The 25,769-nt window shown below is 42.9% G+C and overlaps 1 protein-coding gene and 1 long non-coding RNA gene across 5 annotated transcripts in view; one reads left to right on the top strand and one right to left on the bottom strand.

Annotated features, from left to right (window-relative positions):
* The window catches only part of JCAD (junctional cadherin 5 associated), a 102,692-nt gene that overhangs the window by 23,417 nt on the left and 53,506 nt on the right, over nt 1–25,769 (top strand). Inside the window, exon 2 of one of the 2 annotated variants that reach the window (NM_001350022.2) lies at nt 22,257–22,378. The exons of the other annotated variant lie outside the window; for it this stretch is intronic. The gene's annotated coding sequence lies outside the window, so the exon portion shown is untranslated. The remainder of the gene's footprint in view (nt 1–22,256; nt 22,379–25,769) is intronic. 2 annotated transcript variants of the gene reach the window in all.
* Nucleotides 1–25,769, bottom strand: part of LOC101929256 (uncharacterized) — a 62,244-nt gene that overhangs the window by 29,004 nt on the left and 7,471 nt on the right. Inside the window, exon 1 of one of the 3 annotated variants that reach the window (XR_001747407.1) lies at nt 20,636–20,866. The exons of the other annotated variants lie outside the window; for them this stretch is intronic. This is a non-coding gene — a long non-coding RNA (uncharacterized LOC101929256). Of the gene's footprint in view, nt 1–20,635; nt 20,867–25,769 lie in introns of those variants that run through there. 3 annotated transcript variants of the gene reach the window in all.

Here is a 25,769-nt window from a genome sequence, read left to right as displayed (position 1 = left end):
TATATATATATATTTTTTTTTTTTTTTTTTTTTTTTTTTTTTTGTGGTGGGGGATGGAGTCTCGCTCTGTTGCCCAGGCTGGAGTGCAATGGCATGATCTTGGCTCACTGCAACCTCTGCCTCCTGGATTTAAGAGATTCTCTTGCCTCAGCCTCCCAGGTAGCTGGGATTACAGGCGCGTGCCACCAGGCCCAGCTAATTTTTGTATTTTTATTTAGTAGAGACAGGGTTTTGCCATTTTGGCCAGGCTGCTCTTGAACTCCTGACATCAGGTGATCCACCCGCCTTGGCCTCCCAAAGTGCTAGGATTACAGGAGTGAGCCACCGCACCTGGCCTAAAAAAAAAAAAAAAAAAAAAAAAAATTTAAAAACTTAGTCCAAAGTAGAAAAAAATTACAAACCATGTAAATGAAGAATTTCAACTGTTTTTAGTATTTTGCCTGTCTTATTTAAAACAATTCTCTAGCATCAAATTATTATGTCCATAGATAATTACATATGTAGCCCTAAATAGCCAAGGACTTTAATCATAAAATTATTTAAAATATAGTTATTGAGGTTAAGGTGGGAGGATTGCTTAAGCCCAGGAGTTCAAGACCAGTCTGGCCAACATAGTAAGACTTTGTTAAAAACTAAAAATAAAAAACAAAGAATAGTTATTGCTATTATGAGGAAATTCAAGTCGTTGATAAAGTTATGTTTTCACATCTTCCCACCTTCCTACCTCCTACGCCCCTCCAAGAAAAATCTGACGCCAGTTTGCATGTGTTGTTATAACCTATCTTTATCCTCTCAGCCTTGTTTTTGACAAGAGCTTCCTTTAAAGACAAATTTAGGAAGAGATTCCATTATGTTATTAGAATCTCGTCCAGAATCACATCTATTTTCAAAAAATTTTTTCTTAGCTCTGTTTAGTGATCTCTTAATGATGCCAAACAACTGTCAGAAATCATATTGCAAAGCCTCTCATAAACGTACCAGTCGGTTGTCTTTAAGTTACCATGTTGTTACTCCTCCAGAGTTTTGATGATTTTATTTGGCCATGAAGATGACGACCAGCGTGTGCACCTGTGGTCTGAGTAAGTCAGTGGGCCTGGAAGATTAATGAGCTTGGCCCAGGCTGGCTTGGGAGGCCCAGCCATGAACCCTGTTGTTTTCCAAGGCTTTGCCTGCATCCGGCTGGCATTTCTAATCCTGCCGTGGGGTTTGGCTCCGGTTCCCTCCCTTGCCCCCCATCTTATTTATCAATAGCATGTGAATTAGAGCAGAAGCTAACGGACAGACAATGAGCTGGAAGCGACCAATCCTTCCACCTTGGGAGGACAGCTGTGTCCCAGAGGCCTGGAGGCACCACGTTCCCTACAGTGATTTGGTTTTCAGTTTTTAGGGTCCTGCGCGTCATGGTCTGATAGGACTTTTGACTGAATATGGGAAGGGATTTAGGAGTAGACAAGAATAAGAAGTCGAATGTTCACATTTTTCCCTTTCCCCTCCCCTCCCCTCCCCTCCCCTCTCCTCTCCTTTCCTTTCCTTTCCTGAGACAGAGTCTCACTCTGTCACTAAGGCTGGAGTGCAGTGGCAAAATCTCGGCTCATTGCAACCTCTGGCTCTGGGTTGAAGTGATTCTCCTGCCTCAGCCTTCCAAGTAGCTGGGATCACAGGCACCCGCCACCACGCCTGGCTAATTTTTGCATTTTTAGTAGAGACAGGGTTTCACCATGTTGGTCAGGCTGGCCTCAAACTCCTGACCTCAAGTGATCCACCCGCCTCAGCCTCCCAAAGTGTTGGGATTACAGGCGTGAGCCTCCGCAACTGGCCTGTGCAAATATTTTCTTCTCAAAAATTCTGGAAGCAATCTGCAAGTAACCAAATAGTGCTCATGATCGTTTGGGAGCTTGATGTCCTCTTAGGGTATTTTTTGTGTCATTAGCTTCAGAAACACAGGAATATAAAGAACACCATTTATCATATTGCTGAGCCCAGCAGCTGTTTGGGTAATAACCTCTAAACTAAAGATGATGGCACTTGACTACATAAGCACCCATCAGGTTGAGAAGGAAAATGACCACATATTCTCTAGCTGTTGGTGAAGTTAACCAGGGAATGTATGGACACACACATTCTTTTTGACCATTTTCACCAATGTAATTGGGAACAAAACAAATCAGTCATTTTGAATTTATTTTGAAACAATCATGATTTCATGTATTGTGAATCACTTTTGTACAGCAGAGCTGATGTGTATGTGTGTGTGTGTGTACTTTAAAAACCTTAAAATACAGAAAAGCCTTGCTGTTCATTAGACATCTGGCATCTGCTGCTCTATTCCAAGTGATTAACTCATCTGCAATGACTTCTTACCCCTTTGAATAAATCAGACACTGTCACTGGCTGCAAGAATGGTGATGGTAACCCTGTATTCTATGAAGCAATTATCTAATGAACTCTAGATATTTTTATGTATTTCAGAAGGGACTTTTGAAAAGGTCTTCCAACATTTCCATCCCTGACAGCCATTAGTAGCAAACACACACACACACACACACACACACACACACACACACGGAAGAAGCATCCACATTTCACACTCTCTATCCCTGATGTTCTGCTGGGATTTGACAGACGGAAACACAGCAGTAGTTTGCAAGTGACTGCCAAATGGGGCAGCCAGACTGAGCAGGGCGAGAAGAGGTGTTATTCAATTGCTGGAAGACAGATGCTCTTCTCCGAGCCTCTGCCTTCTCTCCAGTAGCCATTCGCTGACACCACTGTGGTGCCACGTTGCACTCGCCAGGTAGAAGGAACTGGAGCCAGAAGCCCACCCTCACCACCTAGGGAAGAAAGCTCTCAGCTTCTTCATTTTGCAGAGGACGAAATCTTGATGCATAGTGGGAAATTGAATTTACCAAGGACATGGTACAGCCTCCACCCCCAGCACAGTGCTCAATCCATCATACTTACAATGATTTATTGCCACCATAGAACCTAAGAGGGATTTAGGATCTGTAAGCCCTTCTGTCATCAATGGTTTCTAAAATTTGCACTAAAGAGGGAAAATAAAGCTCCATTTTGGTTAATGTGCATTATTTATTTATTTTTTGAGATGGCATCTCGCTCTGTCGCCCAGGCTGGACTGCAGTGCTGCTATCTTGGCTCACCTCACTGCAACCTCCAACTCCTGGGTTCAAGAGATTCTCCTGCCTCAGCCTCCCAAGTAGCTGGGATTACAGACATGCGCCACCACCACCCCTGGCTAATTTTTGTATTTTTTTAGTAGAGATGGGGTTTCACAATGTTGGCCAGGCTGGTCTTGAACTCCTGACCTCAGGTGATCCACACCCTTCAGTCACCCAAAGTGCTGGAATTACAGGTGTGAGCCACCGTGCCCAGCCAATGAGCATTATTTTTGGACTCTGCCTCTCTCCTTGGGATAGAGATAAATTATCTGTCCGTTGTTTTCTTTTCTTCCCATGGACTTTATCCAGTTCCTGCCTTTGGGTTATTGTATTTCGGAATCTTATTATTTTTAAAAGAGAAAGAAACTGAAATTGAATCAGGGCCTTTATCTTGCTATCTCCCAAACTACTTGATTTAAAACCTGAACACTAAGCTGACCGATCTCTCTGCTTGCTCTAAGTAAACAAAAGAATCAGGAGGCCTGCAGTGAGAACTCCTACAGCTTTGGCTGAGACCATCAGGCTCTGGGAACAGGGGTGTGTTCTGGAACTCCTAGGGTGACTGTTTTAGCTCCAACTTCCCATGGGGAAAATGATTGCCCTGTTTTCCATTCTAATGCTAATGACCTATCTTTGGGAGTTCGAAGCTGGATCAACAGTCAGACTGACTTCCTATTTCTAATTTTCACACTCAGCCTACTTTGCTTTTTCACCAGACCCACTCTCCACCTTCACTAATTTTAGGTAAAAATTTATAGAAGTCAGCTGGGCATGGTGGCTCACGCCTGTAATCCCAGCACTTTGGGAGGCCAAGGCAGGTGGATCATGAGGTCAAGAGATCAAGACCATTCTAGCCAACACAGTGAAACCCTGTCTCTACTAAAAATACAAAGATTAGCTGGGTGTGGTGGTGCATGCCTGTAGTCCCAGCTACTCTGGAGGCTGAGGCAGGAGAATGGCTTCAACCCGGGAGGCAGAGGTTACAGTGAGCTGAGATCATGCCACTGCACGCCAGCCTGGCGACAGAGTGAGACTCTGGCAAACAAACAAACAAACAAAGGTTACAGAAGTCCAATAAGGTTTCAGATACCATGCTAGACCTTTTCCAATAGGAATGAAAAAGTAATACCCACTTCCCCGCCCTGCTTTTTCTCTTCCCACATTCAAAATCAGTTGAGTTGGGCAATTGTATTACTGAAAAAATGGAGAATTTTTTCTGGAGAATGATGCTTCAGTCTACTGGCCAAGTGGGCTTGTTAATACCATGTCCCTAAATGAGATATACTTTCCCTGCCATGGACAGTGTTACTGCTAAACAACTACAGGCCACCCTCCTTGAGAACTGGCCAAGAGTGTGCACTAACTGGTACATTCTAAGAGATGGAGGAGTAAAGTGCTAGACTGTGTTCAGCTCCTTCTCCCAGACTTTTTTATTTTTTATTTTTACTTTTATTTTTATTTTTGAGACGGAGTCTCTCTCCGTCACCCAGGCCGGAGTGCAATGGCATGATCTCGGCTCACTGTAACCTCCACCTCCCAGGTTCAAGCGATTTTCCCTTCTCAGCCTCCTGAGTAGGTGGGATTACAGGCACCCACCACCATGCCCAGCTAATTTTTGTATTTTTGTAGAGACAGAGTTTCACCATGTTGGCCAGGCTAGTCTTGAGCTGACCTTAGGTGATCCGCCCGCCTCGGCCTCCCAAAGTCCTGGGATTACAGGCGTGAGCTACCGTGCCTGGCCTCCTCCCAGACTTGACAATCGGTTGCCACTTAGCCTCTTTGCCTGGGGTAGAGTTTATAAAAAAGTGGAGAGGAGTCTGGAGCAAGACTCTATCTCACTAGCAGGAATAAGGGTTCCCCTACCACACTACGTGCTTAATTGGGAAGGGCCAAGACTCCCCTCACCCCAAGTCTCTGGACCCTGAGTCTAGGGTTCGGTTTACTATATTTATCCCACTGTAACAGGTGACAGCAGGAGCTCTTTAGCAATAAATAAAAATCTACCAACACTAAGAAATCTGCTCTTCACTTTTAAAAAAGAGAAAAATAACTGTAACCCTTTTAGAAAACTATCTCTGACTTCTCAGTCTGATCTAACTTCTTTATTTATAAAAGGTATAGGAGCATTTTCAAATCACATGCATCAGATTGGAAAGAGTTTGAATCTACAGTTTGAAAAGGCTTGGTGGACAGCCCCACCATTGCTTCATCCAGCATATGTGCTCTGGGAAGTATTGCAGTTAAAAAAGCAGGGATGACTTTTGTTTGTTGGAACAAAGCATTGAACAACTTTTTTCATTAGTAGGATTGGATTTCCACCCAGGGTGGGTGGCAATTAATGATCAGGATTTGTGACATGGTTTTCAGCCTGCTGAATTCACTGCTGAAGATGCAAAGCTGAAGAAACTGATGCATTCAAACACGGAACTTTCCACCTTCTGTCAACTGACATCATCCTGTAGGCAGCTGCAAACCAAAAGAAGTAAGCTCTCAACTGGATTGTCTAATGCAGCTCATTTAAAACTCAGTAGTAGCTTCTATCTTCTGCCCTGTCAGTGAATGCTCCCTTTGGGATAATGCCCTACATCTCTGACATGCTGGTTACACAAATTTGTCCACTAAGGGTGTGGAGGGGAAAAGTTCAATGCACAAAAGAGGCAGACAATAAGTAGACTTTGCTTCTAGATTTTTTTTAAGATAGTTAATCAATAGTGTACTTTGTACATGTTCCTTTTTTTAGGAAAATCCTGTCTTTAAAAAAATAATTTTTTAATGTAATTGTTTTAAATTTAATTTTAAAAATTAAAATTAATTTTAATTTTTGGTGATAGTTTAATGCTGACAAAAGTCTAAATTTCCCATTTTCCAATGAGTTAACAGACATATACAGAGTTTTATACATTTTGCCTGCAACTCACCCAATTTGTCACGTAATTTTGAATTTTAACATTTCAAAAGAGTTCATTAAACAAATAGACTTTCTGGGGAAGGACTGGATTGGTGTTTGAAATTGGCTAAACAAACACTCGGGGATGTCATACATTCCTGCTATGCAGATGTGTAGGACATCATGTAGTTCATGGATTGGACATTACCTTAAACCCATGGGCACTATTAAATAGAATAGGTAACTAAGTCATGACGGATGCTAGAAATCAGGACTCTGCTCAGTTGCAAAGTGGCTGGAGGGCCACTTTTTTAGGCTCAACCTATCACTCCCCATCTCCACTGCCCACCCCTACACATGATTCCCAACATATGTCGTTGGTCTTGAAACCAATTCTCGCTTTTTTGGCTCTTAACTCACATTGCCCCTCTCTGGGAAGCTCTTCCTTCATCCCATCACGTAAGGGCATCTCATCCTTGTCAAAGAGCTTTTCATGATCACACTGCTTCCTTAATCTCTGTCTTCTCAAAGCCACTGCAAAACCTTTGCCTGTATTACAATCCAGCATATCTTCTCTCTAGCTCAATGACAAATTTATTGGAAGCAGAAACCATGTCTTTTATTTATTACAGAATTTTTGAGCTAGAAGGAATCTCATGGTAAGAACGAACTTACCATAGGATGAATAAAAGATAAATGTAGAAATACTAGATAAATGTAAAGACCAATTCAAGGTCACAAAATCATTTTACGTAAGCCTGCTTTTCCCCTGATGTCCCAATTTGAAGCTTGCTGATACCAGTTGTATAAATCACACCAAAAGACAATCAGGTTACTCCTTTGAAATAGGGAAAAATACAACACCAAACCTGAGTTCATAAAGAAACCAAAAGATTAAAACAAGAAAGGTTATATAACTGGAAGAAAAGAAACTGATGAATATCAGGATACCTACTGCTCTCATATCAGGATTGTTTCTTTATTTTATTAATGTGATGGCAAATCAGTTTGAAAACTGTGACTATATAAACAAGATGAACTTAGATCGAGTGACTACGATTATTTCCAGAGTGCAAATAATTGCTATCCGTATTCATCAGTGTGTTACAGAGAAGCAGAACCAACAGGATGTGTGTGGGTAGATGGATAGATAGATGGATGGATGGATGGATGGATAGATACACAGATAGATAGATAGATAGATAGATAGATAGATAGATAGATAGATAGATACAGATTTGATTATAAGAAATTGGCTCATGCCATTATGGAGGCTGACAAGTTGCAAGATCTTCAGCGTGAGTTGAGAATCCTAAGACCCAGGAGAGCTGATGGTACACATTCCAATCTGATGGCCAGCAGGGTTGAGACCTGGAAGAGCCAGTGTTTCACTTTGAGTCTGAAGGTGGAAAAAAGCCAGCTTCCCAGTTCAAAGGCAGTCAGGCAAGAGGAATTCTCCCTTACTTAGGACAAGGTCAGTCTTTTTGTTCTATTGAGTCCTTCAACTGATTGACTGAGGCCCCTACCCACTTTAGGGAGGGTGATTTGCTGTACTCAAGTCTACCAATTTAAATGTTCAGCTCATTCAAAAAACAGCCTCACAGAAACGCACAGAAGGTTTGACCAAATACCTGGGCCACCCCTTGATTTAGTAAGCTGACACATAAAATTAATCATCACACTATATTTTATATCAAGTCAAATTTATCTTTCTCACTTCTTGAATAATAGTGAAGTTTTCAGATTCTATAAAATTGCTTTGCCTATTTGCATATTTTCCTTTCTTCCTTTCTTCCTTCCTTCCCTTTCTTTCCTTCTCTCCCTCCCTCCCTCTTCCTTCCTCCTTCCTCCTTCTTTCCTTTTCTTTTTTCTTTTCTCTTCCTTTTTCTTTCTCTTTCTTTTTCTTTCTCTTTCTCCCTTTCTTTCTCTCACTCTTTCTTTCTTTCTTTCTTTTTCTTTCTATTTCTCCCTTTCTCTCTCTCTCTCTTTCTTTCTTTTTTTCATTCACTCTGTCACCCAGGCTGGAGTGCAGCACCAAGATCATACTTCACTGCAGCCTCGAATTCCTGGGCTCAAGCTATCCTCCCACCTCAACCTCCTCAGCTGGGACTAGAGGTGTGTACCACTATGCCCAGCTCTTTGTATGTTTTTGTAAAGATGGCGTCTCACTATGTTGCCCAGGCTGATCTGCAACTCATGGGCTCAAGTGATCTTTTTGCCTTGGCCTCTCAAACTTTTGGGATTACAAGCATGAGTATCGCGCCCAGCCACCTTTTCTTTCTTATGGCTTAAACACCTATGTTTCTGACTCATGCCTGACTTACGCTAGTGCTGATGGACAGAAGTTTCATTTCATTTCCATGTAAAACTATGAATTGCATTATTTAAACACAGATTTGCTTATAGGCATTTTAGCTTAACTTTAGCGGTCTCTAGACCCTGTATTCTGTGGTATACAAAGAACTCTTTTGTCTCTATTGAGTAGAACAGAACATCTGCAAATATATTTGTTTGCCCTGAGAACTGTTTGTGGCCATGCAATATGTTGTTTAAAGATCTTTTATCAAAACATTTTACTTAGTAGATCCACATGAACATACACATACAGAAAATCTGACATGAGTGACTATTTATAGAACCATTCCTTTAGAAAAGGACTGCTGAGCATTTGATGGAGGTGGTAGAAAGGATAAAGGGGAGGAGACTTGACTCCAGCTTCTGCTCTGACTCTAAATAGTTGTCTGACCTTGGACAAATCATTGTGTCATCTCTAGTGATTTCTCTGGTCCTAGAAATCTCTACTTCTATAAAATTAGAGATTATTTTTTCCTTCTTCTCATGGTTAAAAAAAAATAAGAGATTACACAAATGGGGATAGGAAAACTATGCGTATTTGGAAAACTCTGGAAATTTGCACCATTTAATTCCAAATCAATTGTATCATCTTTTTTTTGTTTCTGTTTTTCTGTTTGTTTGCTTTTTGAGATGGAATCTTGCTCTGTTGCCAGGCTGGAGTGCAGTGGTGCAATCTTGGCTCAATGCAACCTCTGCCTCCTGGGTTCAAGTGATTCTCCTGCCTTGGCCTCCCAAGTAGCTGGGACTACAGGTGCATGCCACCACACCCAGCTAATTTTTTGTTTTTTTTTTTTTTTTTTTTTTTTTTGAGACAGAGTTTCACTCTTGTTGCCCAGGCTAAAGTACAATGGTGTGATCTTGGCTCACCGCAACCTCCACATCCCAGGTTCAAGCAATTCTCCTGCCTCAGCTTCCGAAGTAGCTGGGATTACAGGCACGCACCACCATACCCGGCCAATTTTGTGTTTTTAGTACAGATGGGGTTTCTCCATGTTGGTCAGGCTGGTCTCAAACTGCTGACCTCAGGTGATCCACCTGCCTCAGCCTCCCAAAGTGCTGGGATTACAGGCATGAGCCACCACACCTGGCCTAATTTTTTTATGTTTAGTAGAGATGGGTTTCACCATGTTGGCCAGGATGGTCTTGATCTCTTGATCTAGTGATCCACCCACCTCGGCCTCTCAAAGTGCTGGGATTATAGGTGTGAGCAACTGCGCCCGGCCCATATCATCTTTTAAAATATACTTTCAATTAGGTTTTGTGTTGTTTGCTTAGAGAATAATATGAATTTTTATTTTATTTTTTGCAGTTTGTGAGTTGTCATAGTTTTCCCATGTCAAATTTTTTACAAAATAATCCATAACCTAAGGTATTAGATTAAGTGAGAGCTTTTCTTAGTACTACCTGAGAACTAACTCTATTTTTCATCCTACGGGAAGCTGGATTTGACAGCTAATGGATCTGTTTTGTTCTAAAACTACCATCTGTTCCAAGGCCCTTTTTAAGGTTTTAATCATCACCATTATGTGTGAGATATAAATATATATTCATAATAATTCATTTCAAAGAAAAAGGTAAAAGCACAATTACACTTAGACGTAAACGATATATTTAAACAAGTGTAGCTCAGTTTAAATATCAGCAAATGAGGAAATTTAATGTACCCACTGACCCTCTAGCTATAAACACATTTGATATCTCCAAACACTAAAAGAGGTTCTTAGTGCAACAGAATTATAGGCCATACTGGAGGTTATAATACTACACACAGCTTCCAAACAAGTGTCTACTAATTTCAGGAGCTGCTATGCAGCAGACGTGAGTGATCCCTTTAGGGGCAGCTCTCAGGGACACAGTTTTCTTTTCTAGGCAGCGGCATGTCGGTACTGCTGCTGGTACGTGCTAGCATTCAAATCTTGGGCTCAGGAGGCCAGGTGCGGTGGCTCAAACCTGTAATCCCAGCACTTTGGGAAGCTGAGGTGAGTGGATCACTTAAGGCCAAGAGTTCGAGACCAGCCTGGCAAACATGGCGAAACCCCGTCTCTACTAAAAATACAAAAATTAGCCAGGCATGGTGGCGTGTGCCTGTAGACCCAGCTACTCAGGAGGCTGAGGTATGAGAATCGCTTGAACCAGGGAGGCGGAGATTGCAGTGAGCATAGATCACGCCACTGCACTCCAGCCTGGGTGACAGAGCAAGACTATCTCAAAAATAAAATAAAAAACAAACATTGGGCTCAGATTCAGCTCTACGCCTTCACTTACCCAACTTGTTTGTTCAACCCTTCCTCCAATTCTGTCATTCAATTAAGTCTTCCAAGATAAATTGACCAAGATAGTTCAAACTGGGTTTCTGCCCTTTGTAACCAAAGAAATTCCAGACTGATATATAACATATCAAAATATAGCTTTGTTCTACTCCTTTATCTTTCATGCTCCAGCCAATCTGTTAAACTAATCCATGGTACAAATTCACTAGGTGTCAATAATGTCTTATCCCTTCCAGGTAACACAGATGCCTTTTAAGCTTAACCTCAGGAGGCATTTGCCTTCATCTGGGAAACCCCAGGTGGTCGGTAGTAAGGAGATTTGGGGCAGAGAAAAGATATGTTCCATTGTTCTTTAGTGATTTTGGTATAAGTACACCTGGTGCGAGTCTAAAACAGAGTTGCTTTGGTGAGAAGAGAGAATCTGTTTTCCTCTATCCCTAAACTGAGAACAAGTCATGAAAGAGGCTTCGGGGGCCATCTGGGTAGCAGACATCATGGACAGGAAGATGCTGTTTGACCATAAGAGGGCAGTTCTTGGAAAGCATGCAGGATGTGCAGGCCCGTGGTTTAATGCTGGGGGATAGCTCCCGGACTTCAGTTGAACAGGGGCACAGGAGTGGGTAATAAGGGGATCATTCCAGAGGGGGAAATGGCCAGTAGAAAGGCTGATGGGCCAGGGGGCCTGACTCAGTGGCCTGCAGAGTGGTGAGATTGGGGGCTGTCCTAATGACTGGGGGTGAGTTAATGAATCATGAGATTGGGAACTTAAATGTAGGAAGCATGTGATACAGGCATCTGAATTTGACAGTGGCTTGAACATAGGTTTGTCAATGGAGAAATGTCATGATCGAAATGGGATTTATGTCAGATTGCTCTCTAGGCTGTGTAGGAAATCTAAGTCTGTAGAGTAAGGCCAACAGAAGAGCCCCAGACATAAGACTATTGCCAAAATTGCAGGAATATATTGGAAAGGATGGGTCAAGAGGATACAAATACAGGACTCAGCAATGACTCACTATTGGGGAAAGAGAGAGAAGGGTGGGATAGAAGTTGACTCAAAGTCATGAGCCTCAGGAACTGAGAGGAGAGTTCTCTGTGTTGCTGTTTGAAGATGGGAAGGAGGGAACAGGGAGTAAGAGAACCCAACACTAAATATTTAAGAAAAAAGATTCAAGTGGTGCTTTGAAACTTGGTAGTTCTTCTAAGATAAGAATTCCAAAAGGGAAAAGGAACTTTTAATTTTTTTTTTCCTCACTCACTGACTATTCAACAAAACCACTGGACAGGAAGAGAATTGAGTCTCCCTGGCCTTCTTCTAGGAAATATCTAAACTACTCAACTCAGGTAGCTCAGTAAGGAAATTATCTTATAGGAGTTTTTTTTCTGCCAAGAGACTTATATAGATATTCTTTATCATTCTTGCTCTTTCTGTGGGAAGAGGGGTTGTTTGAAAAATTAAGTAAATGATGAATAATGATGATTAGGAACAATTGTAAAAGCAAGTGAGGCCTGACCTAAATTATTTTTATAACATATTCTCATGATCTGCAGAAACCATTCTAAGTTTTAGGCAAGGGAGAAAAATGTGAAGTCCAACTGTCTGGTTTTTGTAAGTGCAGAGTTGGGTATGAATGTATCAGACCCATGAATTATAGTTGTGATACACAGTCTCTGACCCCAAGAAATTCTTTTTCCCACTGCTCTCTAGTCTTTCAGTAGGAGTGGCCACGTTGTGTGTCATGTGAGCAAGCCCCCTCAGCTGATTGGAGCCTGGTGAATCAGCTGACCCAAGGGCAGCCAATCCATGACCAGGAACCAGGAAGAGGTTTACAAAGATTCTCTGCCTAGACAGGGGCAATGGTGATTGAGTAGACCTATCAGATTATTTCTTTTGGAAGTTTTTCTCCTTAAAACTCAAAAGAGTCCATCTGAAAAATAACATCTGCATCACTTCAAGGTTCACTTCTACCTTTTTGCTCTCTGTTGCCAGTTCACCAGAAGCCCCTGTGATGATTACTATTCTTTTTTTTTTTTTTTTTTTTTGAGATGGAGTCTTGCTCTATCGCCCAGGCTAGAGTGCAGTGGCACATTCTGGGCTCACTGCAAGCTCCGCTTCCCGGATTCACGCCATTCTCTTGCCTCAGCCTCCCGAGTAGCTGGGACTACAGGCGCCGGCCACCACGCCCGGCTAATTTTTGTATTTTTAGTAGGGACGGGGTTTCACCGTGGTCTCATCTCCTGACCTCGTGATCTGCCCGCCTCGGCCTCCCAAGATGATTACTATTCTTGACTTACTAACAAGTTCAGCCAGATTTCTAGGCTGGCATTACCAGCAGAGGTGGGTTTCCCTGCTGTTGACTGGAATAGTCTCACTAAAGTCTGAGCACTCGAGCCTAGAGCCAGATTTATGGGACACTTACCTACCTACCTTCACTACTGTTATTCCCTCCATGCCCACAAATGAAGCTCCCAGCTTCAAGGGCACACAAAGAAGACCAGTGTGGCACATGACCTTCTTTTACTGGCGTGTACTTGAGAACGCCAGCCACAACATTTCTCTCCTGAATGTTGCCAGCATCAGTCCCAGAACCAGGGTCACCATCCTCGTAACTGTCATCAGAGAGATGCCTGCTGCAGCTCAGATACATCTACTTCTAAAAAGGAACATACGATTGTCCTGTGACTTTTTGTGTAGTAGTGTAAAGGGGACCTGTTGCCATTAGCTGATCATTAAAGGAGCGACTCGTTCAAGATGCAGCTCTTTCTATCACAGGTATAATTTCATGGTCTTGCTATCAGATCAGAGCAATCATCGTTGTCCTCAAAAGCAGTGAGCCCCACAATGGCCGCTTTTGTCCAGCCATTCAGCCATTAGAGCAGCTACTTCAACTACCTTCACAGGCTTGATGGGTGAATTGCCTGCTTTGCACTAAATGGCAGTTCTCTGATGCTGTTGTATTAAAAAAAAAGAAAGGAAGAAAGAAAAAGAAAGAAACCCTTCATCCTGCCCCAGAGAGAGTGCAAAGTGCCTTTCTTGATTCAGCTGTTTGCCTTCCTTCAATTCCAATCAGTCTGTGCTGTGTGGTATGACAGTGACAAGGTGAAATCCCTGCTGAGCAGCTCTGAAATCTGTGAAGAAATAGGCTTCATACACACATTGTTTGGTTGAACAAGAGAAACTACTGGAATTTCAGAGGAAAAGCCATACCTATCTTTAGTGACTAAATTAGAAAAAGTATGGAATGCAAATAAAAACTACAATGAGATACCACTTCATACCCATTAGGATGGCTGTGTAAAAAACAAAACAACCACAAATATTGGCAGGGATATGGAGAAATTGGAACCCTCCCTTCATTGCTGGTGGGAATGTGAAATGGTACAGTCCTTATGGAAAACAGTTTGCCAGTTCCTCAAAAAGTTAAACGTAGAATTGGCATATGATCCAGCCATTCTACTTCTAGGTATATAGCCCAAAGAACTGAAAATAGTGACTCAAACAGATACTTATGCACCAGTGTTCATAGCAGCATTATTCACAACGGCCAAAGGTGGAGAAAACTCTTGTCCATCAATAGATAAATGGATAAATGTCATATATGTACCATTGAAGATTATTCAGCCTTACGAAGGAGTGAAATTCTGTGTGTTGCAACATGAATGAACCTTGAAAACACGCTGGGTGAAATAAGCCAGACATAAAATGAGAAATATTATATGATACCACTTGTCTGAGGTATCCAGAAGAGGTATATTTGTAAATGGAAGACAGAGTAGAGGTTATCAGGGGCTGAAGGGAATGGGGAGTTATTGCTTAATGAATACAGTTTCTGTTTGGGATGATACAAAGTTTCTGGAAATGAATAGTCATGATGGTTGTAAAACACCATCAATGTACTTAATGCCACTGAAACGTATACTTTAAATGGTTAAACAAAAGTACAGAAAGGTCAGGCATGGTGGTAGGTGCTTGTAGTCCCAGCTACTTGGGAGGCTGAGGCAGGAGAATCACTTGAACCCAGGAGGCAGAGGCTGCAGTGAGCTGAGATTGTACCACTGCACTCCAGCTTGGGCAACAGCACGAGACTCCATCTCAAAAAACAAACAACAAAAAAGGATAGAAAGGCCAATTCTATTTGATTCTATTTGCTCAATTCCTTGCCAAGAGCTTAGGCATCTCTGTTCCCAATACCATCTTCTGGCCAGGGATTTGTAAATATATTACCTTGTGCCCAAGAAGACTAGACACTCAGACTCTGTGAAGCTGGTTTCACTGATGCTGTGGCTCTAGGAGGCAGGTTTCAGTGGCCCGCCCAGGCTGCCTTGCAGAGGCATTAATATACTCTGCAATTCCGAATGTCTTCATACGTTTTTCCAAGTTCAATCAAATATGTGTCCATTTTTCTGCCTTCCCTTCTGGGCAGGTCAGTTCTGCTGGGGAATGTGCCTTCTCCACTCCCCGAGAATCCTTTTAAAATGAGCAAAACGTGGGCCTGAGCGATTCGGCCCTCCTAGCTGGTTCGCACAAGCTTAGAGTATGTCTTTTGTTTCTTTCTACCCTTGACAAGCGTGATGGCTTTGCTTTCATGCTGACTTTCATTCCTATGATGTTGAAGGTAACAGGCTGTCTGCTGGTCCCATCACAGCTGAGTTTTATTTTAAACTTTAATGGATAGCAATGCTATATACCCACATGTGTCCTTATATATTGTTCTAGCTGCACATAGATAATCCTTCCTAATTTCACTCACAATTATAAAAGGGGTAGCCAAACAGCCCTGGGACACCGCCCCTTTCTGAAAAGGGAAGGCTTGTTTCTATATCTAGCTGAGTGTGACCCACAGTCTTGGGGAATTAAGATACTGAAAATCTTGAGGGATAATCCTAGTTCAAAGAAACATAAAATAAGAGAAAAAAAGACAATGAAAATCAGTTTCACCTGTGGTTTCTACACTCAGCAAACACCTGTACATTGTAACTATTTTGATCAGATAAAAACTTTGATGTTCTGAAATAACTGTCAGATTTCTGTACGGGTACTAAATGCTCAAAAAGTCCCTGTTGGCTGGGCACGGTGGCTCACACCTGTAATCCCAGCACTTTGGGAGGCCGAGGCAGGTGGATCACCTGAGGTCAGGAGTTTGAGACCAGCCTGGCCAACATGATGAAACCATGCCTCTACTAAAAATACAAAAAAATTTAGCCGGGTGTGGTAGCAGGCACCTGTAATCCCAGCTACTCGGGAGGCTGAGGCAGGAGAATCGCTTGAACCCAGGAGGTGGAGGTTGCAGTGAGCCCAGATCATGCCATTGCACTCCAGCTGGGGTGACAGAATGAGACTCTGTCTCAAAAAAAAAAAAGTCCCTGTTTGAACCATATTTACAAATTGGAAGTAAAACCACATATGCCTCAGGAAGCATCAGGCTAACACCATTTGTCATTTTGGTGTAGATGATTCAGAACAAATGACAATGCTTGGAAATAGTGCTATAATACAGTGAGGATACAGCCGTGTCAAGCAAACGGAGTAGACCCAAATGCATGGGAGCTCCTTTGCTTTTTGCCCTAATTCTTCCTCCCTTTCATGGATATTAGGAAAACAAGAGCAACCCGCCCTCATTTCAAATGCATTTTTCCCCTTCCTGCTCACATCACATTTTTCTAGTGTGCTGCTCCAGAATCTGCCAGCATGGATTCTGACAGGTTGGCGTCTGCTGGTGTTTGATGTTTGGCATTTCTGATGTGACACTGGCTTCATTTTATGCAAGAATTTGTATTCCGCGTAGCTTCCCAGGGTGGGTTAAGAAAGGGTAGGGCTTTGGATTGAAATCTAACAGTGGGAGGAAACCTTGGGTACACTAGCTTTTTAGCTGACTGTTAGTCCATTTATTAAATAGCAGTTATCCTGTATCATTGGTACCAATGTGAATATTAAATCAATTGGGCCATTCCACAGAGTTGGACTAAAGCTACATGAAATGTCACCAGACCTACGGGTTTAATGAGAAGAGCATGTTGTTCCTAAAAAACCCAACTAAACGCATGTTGGAAGCAATATGTAAGCTTATATGGGATCAGCTTCCTCATAATATCAGAGGGGAACTAGGATTGTATTGGATCCTCCATTCCTAAAGCTCATTTATTCCCTTCAGAGAGTAGGACAACTCCAACCTGTTTCATTCAGATTCCAAGGCCTTTTCCTTCATAGAAGAATAAGACATTTCCTAGAATTCTATGTATATTTCTAGATTGTGCAATCAGAATTTAAACAAAATAATTAAACCCTTCAAAAACAAGTCTGGCCTGGTATGGTGGCTCATGCCTGTAATCCCAACACTTTGGGAGGCTGAGACAGGGGATCACTTGAGACCAGGGTTGAAGATCAGCCTGGGCAACATAGTGAGACCCTGCCTATACAAAAATTAAAAAATTAGCCACACATGGCAGCATGTGCCCATAGTCCTAGCAACTCTGGAGGCTGAGGCAAGAGGATCGCTTGAGCCCAGGAGGTTGAGGCTGCAGTGAGCTAAGATGGTGCCATGGCAGTCCAGCCTGGGTGAGAGAGGGAGATCTTGTCTCTTATTAAAAAAAAAACAAAACAGTAGTATAATATGGGGGATGGAAAGGAGGTATTCCTTCCTATATCAGAAAGCAGTTGCATATGGCATGGTGGCCATGCCACAGGAAACACAGGCCTCATGGTCTCCTTTACCACTACCCACCTCTGAGGAGTGTAACCACGTCTTCCAGACCCTTTTTGAATTCTCCTTTCATCTATAGCCCTACCACACTGAAAGCACTCAATCTCTGAATTCTCCTCCCATGAGGGGATCGCTGGCAGCTGGAGGTGGGCACAGGTGCAGGTCCTGTTGTCTCTGCCTGGAAGTCGTCATTGTGTGTTTAGGTGGGTGCAGGGTACATCAGCAGCAACCCTCATGACCCCCGATCTGTGAGGGGGATATTATCAGCTTGGGAACATATGGAAGCCAGGCCCAGATAGCCAGGTTGGCTGAGGATTTGGCTCAAGGTACACAGAGAGTACTTGAAACCACTGAATCTTTCAGTGAGTTTATAATATGGTCCCATTCCTCTCTGCTTGGCCAGTTGCCTGCTTGGCATCCTCCAATTAAACTTGGAAGAAGTGGTGAAAGGAAGTGAAGTAATGTCTTAGCCACAGGTACAATGTGTGTCAATATCCAATGGAGGAGATGTAAATGTATCCTGTATGCCTCAAAGAATACTCCGAATTTACTGTCAGAGGGATATTTTGTCCATAGCATTTTTGCCAAGATTTCCAACACCAAGACTACTCTTCTACACTGTAAAAGCCAGCTTTTACTGCCCTCTTCACACACAGGTGTCACACACACGTACATATGCACGCAGGCACACTCACAGCCATATGCTCAGATTAAGCTCACATTTCCCATTACATAAGAATCTTCTCATTAAAGTGTTATCTCGCAGTCTTGTGCTATCTGGGTTCCCTGGCAGAATGGAAGTAGCTCTAAATATCCTGCCTTTTAGGAAATCTTGACTAAACACTTTGTGTGTTTCAATAGTTTTAAGAAGTCTAAATGCTTTGTTTCAACCTGAAAAGGCACATACGATTTGCAGTACTATTCAGGAAGGAAGGGAGGGAGAGAGGGAGGGAGGGAAGGAAGGAAGGAAAGAAGGAAAGAAGGAAGGAAGGAAGGAAGGAAGGAAGCAAGGAAGGAAGGAAGGAAGGAAGGAAGGAAGGACAATCTTGCTATCCTGTCCATTGTAAATGCTAAATGGAATGGTCTTTCTAAAATTTCTTAATCACCTTCCATCTCTGTAATATTTTTCCCACAAAAAGTAAATGAATATAGAAATAGTATCCTTCCATGTTCTCAGCAAATGAGCTCATTAGTTGTATTTAGTCCCCAGAAATGGAAGCCACCTCCCGTTTGTAGAGTGCCATGATGTTCGAGGTGCTTTGCATTTCTCTCATTCATTCTCACACAAACTTCATGGAGTGTGCAGCGTAAGAACAGCTAATGCTCATAGAATGTTGGCTCTGTACTAAATGGTTTCACCAAATATCTAATTCTCATAACCAGACTGTGGATCATTATCATATGACATTTTAGAAGGAACTGAGGCTCAGAGACATGACGTCATTTGCCTGAAGACACACAATGAATGGCAGCATTGAGATCCAACCCAAATCTGTCTGACCCCAAAGCCTACGTACTTCTTCCTCTTCTGGGTTATGTTACCTCCTGATAAACAGGGAAATTGGGAAGCACTTTACTGTGAATACCTTCAGCTCCCCAAATGGGGCCATCAATCACTTTGTAGTTCATGAGATCTACAGGGCGAGTGACCAGGTGTTCCTAAGAGAGCCTGTCCCTGTAAAGTGAATGTTAGGACTGGTCATGCCCCATGGCTCTCAAACTTTGGTGCACATTAGAATCAAAGAAATTGTGGCTGGGTGCGGTGGTTCACACCTGTAATCCCAGCACTTCAGGAGACCGAGGTGGCACAGGAGTTTGAAATCAGCCTGGCCAACATAGTGAAACCTTGTCTCTACTAAAAATACAAAAACTAGCTAGGCGTGGTGGCAGGCACCTGTAATCACATCTACTCGGAGGCTGAGGCAGGAGAATCTCTTGAACCCAGGAGGCGAAGGTTGCAGTGAGCTTAGATTGCACCACTGCACTCCAGCCTGGTCGGCAGAGTGAGACTCTGTCTCAAAAAAAAAAAAGAAATTGTTTAAGATTTCTGGGCCCTACCTCTAGCTTCCTAACCAATAATAGCCAACCACTACTTCTTTTTCTTTTCAAATGATCCATAAATTTACTGATTTATAATTTCATAGATTCAGACTATGACATTTCCAGTCTTAATAGTTTATTTTGTGAGTAACCGTTGTCATCAGATGTCTTGCTATTAAGAACTTGCAATCTGGTGTGATGAATGAGATCTTTATGGATATACAAATGCTGCAGGAAGGCATAGACTTATATTCAGATAGAGGAGATGTAGTGCCTAATATAGCATAGAACATAAGATAAATCATGTAATCTGGAAAATGGGGATGTTACATAAATACACATTACTGAGGAGCAGAGAGAGTTAATTATGAACTAAAGGAGTTTCATGGCCTCTAATTTTTTTCTTTCATTTCTTAGCTTCAGATGGCTTCTAATTTACATGCCTCTAATTTATATCCCTCTCCCCTCCCTCTCTCCTTCCCTCCCTCCTCCCTTCTTCCCTTCCCTTCCCTGCCCTGCCCTGCCCTTCCTTCTTTCCTTCCTTCCAGAATAGTATTGCAAATAGCATGTGCCTTTTCAGGTTTTTTAAAAAAGCATTTAGACTTAAAACTATTGAAATACCATAAAGTGTTCCATCAAGATTTCCTGAGGTTAATATTATAATCTCAGGTGAACAGAGTATCGAGTGAGTGGAGCTTATAATATTAACCTCTGTTCACTTGCCTTTATGAGGAAGAGGAGCATATTTTGTTTTCCCAAAGCAATAATGTATTAGTGTCAGAATTCCTTTTTATTTTGTTCATATAAATGTAGTTAGTGTTTCAAATCTGCATGTAAAAACTTGTCTTTTAACTTTTATTTATTTAGTTTTGAGACAGAGCCTCACTCTGTCTCCCAGGCTGGAGTTCAGTGGTGCGATCTTGGCTCCTTGCAACCTCCGCCCCCCAGGTTCAAGCAATTCTCCTGCCTCAGCCTCCAGAGTAGCTGGGCTAATTTTTGTATTTTTAGTAGAGACAGGATTTCACCATGTTGTCCAGGCTGGTCGTGAACTCCTGACCTTAGCTTATCTGCCCGCCTCGGCCTCCCAAAGTGCTGGGATTACAGCCGTGAGCCACTGCACCCGGCCTTAACTTTTAAATATATTTTCTTAAACACAGTTATTAAGCCCTTAACATTGTACATCACGTGGCTTGAAATCAGATTTACCATCCTGCAATGGCTCCAACATTAGAAGATTTTTGTCCTCACAGTCCTCAGTCTGTCACCATTTCCAGAGGTTTCCCACATGCTAGTGCCTCTTTGATACTACACTTCCCTGGGAAGGAGAGCTAGGGAAAGTAAAAACAACAATAATGATGATATTAGGACAATTTGTCATGTGAGGTCACAGCAAAGAATTAGAAGAACTAGGAAATGTTTTTCTACATTTTTATTAATACTTTAGGCTGGGGCGTGGTGGCTTATGCCTGTAATCCCAGCACTTTGGGAGGCCGAGGCAGATGGATCACTTGAGGCCAGGAGTTCAAGACTAGCCTGGCCAATATGGTGAAACCCCATCTCTACTAAAAACACAAAAATTAGCCAGACGTGGTGGCGCATGTCTGTAATCCCAGCTACTTGGGAGGCTGAGCAGGATAATTGCTTGAACTCGGGAGGGGGAGGTTGCAGTGATCCAAGATCACACCACTGCACTTCAACCTGAGCGATAAAGCGAGACTCCGTCTCAAAACAAACAAACAAACAACAACAACAACAACAAAAACACTGTATTAATACTTTAACATATAAAATCCACCATAACTCCATATTTAGATGTGCCTACTGATAAACAGGCCCCTGGAAAATAAATAGGTAGCCCCTGACCCCAAATAAGGTAGTACTGCTTTTAAAAAGGTATTGGTTTTGTTTCTGAATAGCGTTTGTTCCAAGATGTATAAAACTGTGGCTCCGGCATATGCTGTAGCTGGAGGGAAAAAAGTTGGGGTGGATTTAATGCTACATCTGTGACCAGTTAGTTACAGTAACCTCCAGGTATTTGGTGGTTTCAACAAAAGTTCTAATACACATTCCAGGCATCCAGAACTATATGGAAGACTGTAAAAAGATGCGGACAAATAATTCATACACCCACTAATTTGCGAAAACTAAAAAGTGCACGTAGTTCCCTGCTGACTTGAAAATGGTGCTCAATTCATTCTTTTACAAGGAAGTTGCCGTGGGTACCCACGCAAGGATAGAGCCTCGAGGGATGGTATGTGCAGACGACACAGGACATCCTGCTGGATCTTATCAGCGCTGACTGGGAAAAATGCACTAAATTATCAGTTCAGGGAGGGAGGGGGTCAGAGAAAGGAAACATTGCAACAGTTACCAGGGCCTCAGAGACACTGACCAATTGTTCCAGCTAGATAAGACACTGGCTTTGGATTTTCACAGTTATTTTTCAACTGTGGCTGATAAGCTGACTTTCATTTGATTTATTTTCTTTTCTCGGACTTATATTTCATGTTTATGGGTGGCCTTCCTCCAAACCACTAATTATCCTCTGTAGTCGCTCTTATTTGCACGATTTGATTGATTTGCTGTAGAAGTTTTGATTTTTGTGGGATTAAACAAAACACACAAATAGCATGCCATCTGCTTGATATACATGTCATTCAGGTCCATAAGAGGCTAACCAATGAGTTCTGGGGTGGTTAGCTGGGTTTAAGTTAGAACACAGAAAAAGCAAACATAAAACTCCCAACAGATTTAAAACAAATTGACAAAGAATTCAAGAAAGCCTAGATATTTTCTAACGTTTTCTGGCCATTTTGTTTTTCTTCAGACAGGGTCTCCCTCTGTTGCCCAGGCTGGAGTGCATTGGTGCAATCACAGTTCACTGCAACCTTGACTTCCCGGGCTCAAGCGATCCTCCTGCCTTGGCCTCTTGAGGAGCTGGGACTACAGGTGCGTGCCACCACGCTTGCAGGCACATCTAAATATGGGGTTGTGGTGGATTTTATATATTAAAGAATTAATACAGTGTTTTTTTTTGGGGGGGGGGGTTGTTGTTGTTTATTTGAGACGGAGTCTCGCTCTGTCGCCCAGGCTGGAGTGCAGTGGTGTGATCTCAGCTCACTGCAACCTCTGCCTCCCAGGTTGAGGCCATTCTCCTGCTTCAAAATTAGCAGTGGCTAATTTTTTTTTTTTTTTTTTTTTTGTAAATTTTCTGTAGAGATGGGGGTCTTGCTATGTTGCCCAGACTGGTCTTGAACTTCTGGGCTCAAGCAATCCTCCTGCCTCATCCTCCCAAAATGTTGGGATTACAGGTATGAGCCACTGTGCCTGGCCATTCTGGTCATTTTGCCTCACTCCTTTGGTCAGCCCCAGTCCTCAGCTAATGCTTTGGCCCCCACTCCTATGGTGAAGATTCCCCACTCTGGATTTCCACAATGTGAGCCGAAGCGACCATTTCCACTTCAGAGGTATTCAAAAATTCTATTCAACAGACATGTTTCATCTACCTGTCCAAAGGTATGGTGCCAGGCTGTGGTCAACGGAAAAACTGATTTGTGCCTGGGTCATAATTTATAAAGGTGACTAAGTGACATCTGAGAGGCCAATGCTATTGAAAGCAAAGATTAAAGTTACTCACAGTTGCCCTATAAACAAGAGGCACCTCAGGCCATGCAAAGCCTGGGGTAAGCACCAGTGCTGATCAGGAGGCAGAAAGGAGTGAGAAGGCCTTGGCCACAGCCATTACTGGGATTTTCACAGGAAAGGCAAGGAGAGACAAGGGAAAGAGCCTAGGATTGGCCAGTTGGAATAATTCCAGTGGCTTTGGGACACAGTTATCCCTAGTTGTCTGGGACCTAGCCCTGGGTTGATTCAGGGCTGGGAAAATATTGGCTTGCTGTGAAAGAGTCAGATAAGGAGGTGGTTGAGAGAGCAGGCTCTGGATCACAGGGGAGGTGTGAGTAACCTTGGCTGTTAGTTTGGCCCTGTGATTAATGAAGGCCAAATAAACAAACTAAGTCCAAACTAAGAAAACACAGTTAGGGCAGGGATGAACAGTGTCTTCTACCAGGTATTCGGAATCCAGTAGCTGAACCAAGTATCATGTAAGCAAATCCAAGATATGCCCTGATAAATGCAGTACTGCACCAGCAGCTTCCATGTGTGATGGGAGTTTGAGGGAGGCAGGTGACTAATGAAATGGAAAGTTTTCTTTCACAGGAGATTTACATCCTCTTTTTTTTTTTTTTTTTTTTTTTTTGAGACAGAGTTTTGCTCTTTCACCCAGGCTGGAGTGAAGTGGCACAATCTTGGCTCACTGCAACCTCCACTTCCTGGGTTCAAGAGATTCTCCTGCCTCAGCCTCCCAAGTAGCTGGGATTATAGGTACCTGCCACCATGCCCGGCTAATTTTTTTGTATTTTTAGTAGACATGGGGTTTTGCCATGTTGGCCAGGCTGGTCTCGAACTCCTGACCTCAGGTGATCCACCTGCCTCGGCCCCCCGAAGTGCTACGATCACAGGCCTGAGCCACCGCACCCGGCCGTACATCCTTTTACACTTAACTAGAAGACCACTGTCATGCACTGCATAATACTTCAGCCAACCATGGACCACATCTATGATGGTGGTCTCATAAGATTATAATACTGTATTTTTACTGTACTTTTTCTATGTTTAGGTACACAAATAACACTGTGTTACAATTGCCTGCAGGATTGAGTAGAGTCACTTGCTGCATGGTTTGCGGCCTAGGAGTAATAGGCTATAGCACGTAGCCTAGGTATGCAGTAGGCTACACCACCTTGGTTTGTGTACATGCACTCTAGGATGTTTGCACAACAATGAAATCACCTAACAACACAATTCTCAGAACGTATTCTCATCATTAAGTGATGCATGACTGTACTTCAAAACCATACAACCCCGCTAGTAAGTGCTACCCTTTTGTACATCGAAGGACATAAGTCAAGGCCTAGCCCAGTGCCTGGCACATAAGAAACATTAAAACAAAGATAGTTCTTGGCCAGTTGCAGTGGCTTACGCCTGTAATCCCAGCACTTTGGGAGGCCAAAGTGGGCAGATAACCTGAGGTCAGGAGTTCGAGACCAGCCTGGCCAAAATGGTGAAGCCCTGTCTCTACTAAAAATACAAAAAATTAGCTGGGCATGGTGGCACATGCCTGTAGTCCCAGCTACTAGGGAGGCTGAGGCAGGAGGATCGCTTGATCCTGGGAGGCGGAGGTTGCAGTGAGCCGAGATCGTGCCACTGCACTCTGCACTCCAGCCTGGGCAACAGAGCAAGTCCCTGTCTCAAAAAAAAAACAGAAAAAAGGTAGTTCTCATCTCTCCCTTCCACCTTGTATTGCTAGGCATCACTGACTTAATAAAAGCCTGATACACCATTCTCTCCCCAAATGGAGGCATTCTTTTTACAATTAATGTAGTTCACAGTTATTTGCATAGTTCTTTTTTTTTTTTTTGAGACAGGGTCTTGCTGTGTTGCCCAGGTTGGAGTGCAGTAGCATGATCATGGCTCACTGTAGCTTTGAACTCTTAGGCTTAAGCAATCCTCCCACCTCAGCCTCCTGAGTAACTGGAACCATAGGCATGTACTACTATACCTGGCCATTTATTTTTATTTTTTAGTTTTTTGGAAACAGGGTCTCACTCTGTTGCCCAGGCTGGAGTGCAGTGATGCCATCTTGGCTCACTGCAACCTGTGCCCCCTGGGTTCAAGTGATTCTTGTACCTCAACCTCCTGAGTAGCTGGGACTACAAGCACATATTTTTTAGTAGAGAAGGGATTTCACCATGTTGGCCAGGCTGGTCTTGAACTCCTGACCTCAAGTGATCTGCCTGCCTCAGTCACTTGAGGCAGGTGTGAGCCACGGAGCCCAGCCTATTTCCCATTTTAAAAACAAAAAGTCATATGGGGTTAAAAAATGCTTGAGTTAATTTTGATTTATTCTTGATTAGCTGGTATGGAATGGTGGGAGAGGCAGCCCAAGGGGTGCCCACGTCTGGACCACTCTGGTGCTGGCCACACCCCTGTCTGCTTGAAGCCACATTGGCATCCCCCCGGTACCAGCGGGATCCCTGACAGCCACTGCCATTCCCTGGAGGGCACCACCGCTCAAGAGGCCTCCTTATGAATTTGGCAAAGAATTTTATAAACTGCAGGCAGGGGGAAGCTTGGAATGTCTTTCTACCACTAGTAAACAGCAGCTCTTTGCTACGGTGAGTGTAACAGAGTTGTTTTCCATTAATATGTGGCTTTACGTGAGAACAAGCTGACACGAGGAGAGCAAACAATTAGAAATGATTTTTCTCATGCAGTAACT

This window comes from Homo sapiens, chromosome 10, assembly GCF_000001405.40.
Source record: "Homo sapiens chromosome 10, GRCh38.p14 Primary Assembly".
Classification (NCBI taxonomy): Eukaryota; Metazoa; Chordata; class Mammalia; order Primates; family Hominidae; genus Homo; species Homo sapiens.
Note: the sequence above shows the minus strand (reverse complement) of the source record. Positions and strands in the feature narration are given on the sequence as shown.